Source organism: Homo sapiens, chromosome 9, assembly GCF_000001405.40.
Source record: "Homo sapiens chromosome 9, GRCh38.p14 Primary Assembly".
Taxonomy (NCBI): domain Eukaryota; kingdom Metazoa; phylum Chordata; class Mammalia; order Primates; family Hominidae; genus Homo; species Homo sapiens.
Genome location: NC_000009.12, coordinates 41,814,447 through 41,818,797, shown reverse-complemented (window position 1 = coordinate 41,818,797; position 4,351 = coordinate 41,814,447). Strand labels below are relative to the sequence as shown.

The 4,351-nt window shown below is 43.6% G+C and overlaps 1 annotated feature.

Moving 5' to 3' along the window:
- Positions 1,141–1,641: an enhancer, noted in NCBI's record as "H3K4me1 hESC enhancer chr9:40108296-40108796 (GRCh37/hg19 assembly coordinates)". NCBI's record gives its function as "activates a minimal SCP1, AML or CMV promoter by ChIP-STARR-seq in naive H9 embryonic stem cells {active_cell/tissue: H9 hESC(naive)}" and the evidence as "EXISTENCE:reporter gene assay evidence [ECO:0000049][PMID:30033119]".

Below are 4,351 nucleotides of genomic sequence, written 5' to 3'. Positions count from 1 at the left end.
TCCTATGTTGTCTTCTAGAAGTTTTATAGTTTTGCACTTTACATTTAGGTCTATGATCCATTTTGACTTAATTTTTGTGACAGGTGTAAAGTCTGTGTATAGATTTATATTTTTGCATGTTGGATGACCAGTTATTCTACCACCATTTGTTGAGAAGACTACCTTTTCTTTTGAATTGCCCTTGCTTCTGTGTCAGAGATCAGTTCACTACGTACATGTGGGTCTATTTTTTGGCCCGCTGGTATGTTCCATTGATCTATGTTTTTATTCTTTCACCAATACCACACTGTCTTGATCACTATAACTTTATCATAGATTTTGAAGCTATACAGTGTAAGACTTTCAAACTTGTTCTTCTTTAACATTTGTTGGCTAATCTGGATCTTTTGCCTTTTTATATAAACTTTGGAATCAGTTTGTCAATACCCACTAGATAACTTGCTGGGATTTCTATTGGGATTGCTTTTAATGTATAGATGAAATTTGAAAGAACTGACATCTTCACAATATTGAGTCTTTCTATCCATATACTTAGAACAACTCTCCATTTATTTAGATCTTCACTGAATGCCTTCATCACAGTTTGAGTTTTCCTCCTATAGATCTGATAAAATCAGAACAATGATGTGGAGCTATCACTGTCTTTGTTGAAGGAAACAACAAAACATATGTGCTCATTGGGAGAAATATTAGCAAATTATCACACTGATTTGTTTTCTCTTAAATGTCAATTAATAGATGAAATTGCAATGTGAAAATAATCATTGTTAACTTGTGTGAAGAAAATATGAGGGAAGATGGCTGACTAGACACAGCCAGGAGGAACAGCTCCCACCAAGGGACCAGGACATTGAGAAGACTGGTGTGCTCCTGGAAGATCTTCAGAGGGAAGGCTTTGAGAGCAGACAGAGGGAAGACACAGATGTTGGGCTGAAGGGGGAGGAAGCCGGGAACCCTGCAAGGGGCAATCGTGCACCAGGACTCATTCCAGGTCCCCAAAATCTCCTGGAGGAGAGGTGAGTTGAACAGGCAAGGGGCAACCTCCTCTTGTCACAGGTCCCTGAATTCCTGACAGGAGGAGACCCTACAACCACCAGGGACACTTGAGTTGTCAGGAAGACCTGCTTATAAAGTGTTAATGGTAGAACTCCAGACTGTGCAAAGCCCAGAAGGTTTTGTGTGCGAGCATCTGTAGTGGAGAATGGTCAGGGACACCCATTGCCCTAGGCTAGACTTGTTCTCATAGGAGACTTCAGCCCTAGGGCAACTGTCAGACCTGAACTCTGCAGGGCAGTCTTGCCCCTGAGACAGGGCCAGTCTGACCTGAGCATCCTTCAGTCTGCTCACCCCTCCTGGGGCCCCAGCCTGGCCACACCTGCTTGCAGTGCAGCTTCACAGCGGGGTGCAGTGGAGGCTACCTCCTGAGGACCTGCATCATAGTTCCTGTGCTGGCTGACTGTGCCTGACCAGCAGAGATCTGCTGCAGAGTGGCCCCCATGTACACACATCAGCCTAACTGTGCCCTGCCCCCACTGCAGTCTCCCCGTGCCACTTTGCCTGCATGCACTAGCCCACGGCCATCCCCCACATCGTTTTGCCAGTGCATGTGTGTGTGTGTGGACCTTGCCTCCCCTTTCCTGCCACAGTGTGTGTGCCATGCTACTGCTGCCATCCTGAGTGCACTTCACCCTCTCGACCCCCCACCATACTGCCATTACTGTTGGAGCATTGATGAGTGGGCATGAAGCCCGCCAGCCCTGCCCCTGCCAACGCCCTGCCCCTGCACCGACACTACCACCAGTGTGACAATAGGCACCGAGAACAGAGGACCCACCCCTGTTCTGAGCGGCTACGACCACCCACGTGAATGTGCAAGGAGAACTCACACAGTCCTGTGCTCACCAGTGCTTCACTCCCATGCTAACACCGCCACCGGCACAAATGCACACAAAGACACAGGGGTGCGGGAGGGGGCAAGCATCCCCCACCCCCAACCCCTGCACCGTGATGCCACAGTTGCTGCTATGAATGCCCACAATGAGGCCAGCATGCTGGCAGCCACTAGCTCCCTGCCACAGCCAGTGAATGTGCACCACACCTCGCTGCCACTGCTGCTGCTGCTGCTGAAGGTGTGAACCAGGATGGATCTCACTGGCACTGCCCTATGAAGCACTTTGACTGGCACCACCCATCAGAGTGTTGTGACCAGTGGTCTTGGATCATCTTGGTCCTTCCAGCACAGCAGGTTCCTAACCTTTAGGGGCCAGAGACAAAGCCTGGGCCAGAAACCAGTCCCCCAGGGTTAGAGCATGCAGTTCGAGAGTCCTGAGCTGAATCTGAGCCTCCTAAAATATTCCAGAAATGAAACCAGTCAGTTGAACCCACCTTGTACCAAAACCAAACCCTCAAGGCCATCAAATAGAATAAAATAAAATAAAGCTCAGCCACAGGACATTAACTTAAAAGATTAAAGAAACATCAGCCCACAGAGATGAGAAAGAATCAGCACAAGAATCCTGACAGCTCAAAAGTCAGAGGGCCTTCTTCCCTCCAAATGACCACATCACCTCTCCAGCAAAGATGAGATGGTTGAAGTGACAGAAATGTAATTCAGAATATGGATATGAATGAAGATCATTAAGATTCAACAGAATGTTGAAACCCTATCTACGGAAGCTAAGAGGCACAATAAAATGATACAGGAGCTGACAGATAAAATAGCCATAGAGAAAAGAATGTAACCCAACCGATAGAGCTGAAAAACACGCTACAAGAATGTCATAATGCAATGGCAAGTATTAACAGCAGGATAGACCAAGCTGAGGAAAGAATCTCAGAGCTCGAAGACTGGCTTTCTGAAATAAGACAGCCAGACAAGAAGAAAGAAGAAAGAGTGAAAGTAAGAAATCTCTGAGAAACATAGAATTATGTAAAGAGACCGAATCTATGACTCATTGGTGTCTCTGAAAGAGATGAGGAGAATGGAAACTACTTGAAAACATATTTTAGGATTTCATCCATGAGACCTTTCCCAACCTAGTTAAAGAGACCAACATTCAGATTCTGAAAATGCAGAGAACCCTGCAAAATCCTTCACAAGAAAATCATCCCCAAGAGACATGATTATCAGATTCTCCAAGCTTGAAATGAAGCAAAAAAATCTTAAAGGCAGAGAAAAAGTAATGAGAGATAACCTACAAAGGTACAAAGGGAAGTCCATTAGACTAACAGCAGACCTATTAGCAGAAACCTCACAAGCCAGAAGAGGTTGGGAGCCAATATTCAACATTCTTAGATAAATGGAATTCCCACCAAGATTTCAAATCTAACCAACCTGAGCTTCATAAGTGAAGGAGAAATAAGATCCTTTTCAGACAAAGAAGTGCTGAGAAGATTTTTTTTTAACCACCAGACATGCCTTATAAGGCTCCTAAAGGAAGTACTAAATATGGAAAGAAAAGCCTGTTACCAGCCACTAAAAAAAAAAATACACTGAAATACACAGCCCAGTGACACTATAAGGCAACCACATAAGCAAGTCTTTAAAATAACCAGCTAACATTATGATGACAAGATTACATTCACACGTATCAGTATTAATCTTGAATGGAAATGGACTTAATTCCCCAATTTAAAGGCACAGAGTGGCAAGCTGACTGAAAAAGCAATACCCAATGGTATGCTGTCTTTAAAAACCTTATCTCACATGCAATGACATCCATAAATTCAAAACAAAGAGATGGAGGAAAATCTACCAAGCAAATGGAAAACAGAAAAAAAAGCAACTTTAAACCAACAAAGATTAAGAAAGACAAAGAAGGGCATTACGTAATGGTAAAAGGCTCAATTCAACAAGACATTACTATCCTAAATATATATGCTCCCAACACAGGAGCAGCCAGATCCATAAAGCAAGTTCTTGGAGACCTTCAAAGAGACTTAGACTGTCATACAATATTAGTGGGAGACTTCAACACCCTACTGACTATATTAGACAGATCATTGAGGCAGAAAATTAACAAAGATATTCAGGACCTGAACTCAACACTGGACCAATGGACCTGATAGACATCTACAGAACACTCCACCCCAAAACAATAAAATATACATTCTTCTCATTGCCACATGGCACATACTCTGAAATCAACCACACATTGGACATAAAACAATACTCAGCAAATGCAAAAAGAACTGAAATTATACCAACCACACTCTCATACCACAGTGCAGTAAAAACAGAATTCAAGTCTAAGAAAATTGCTCAACACCATACAATTACATGGAACTTAAACAACCTGCTCCAGAATGAGTTTCAGGTAAATAATGAAATTAAGGCAGAAATCAAGAAGTT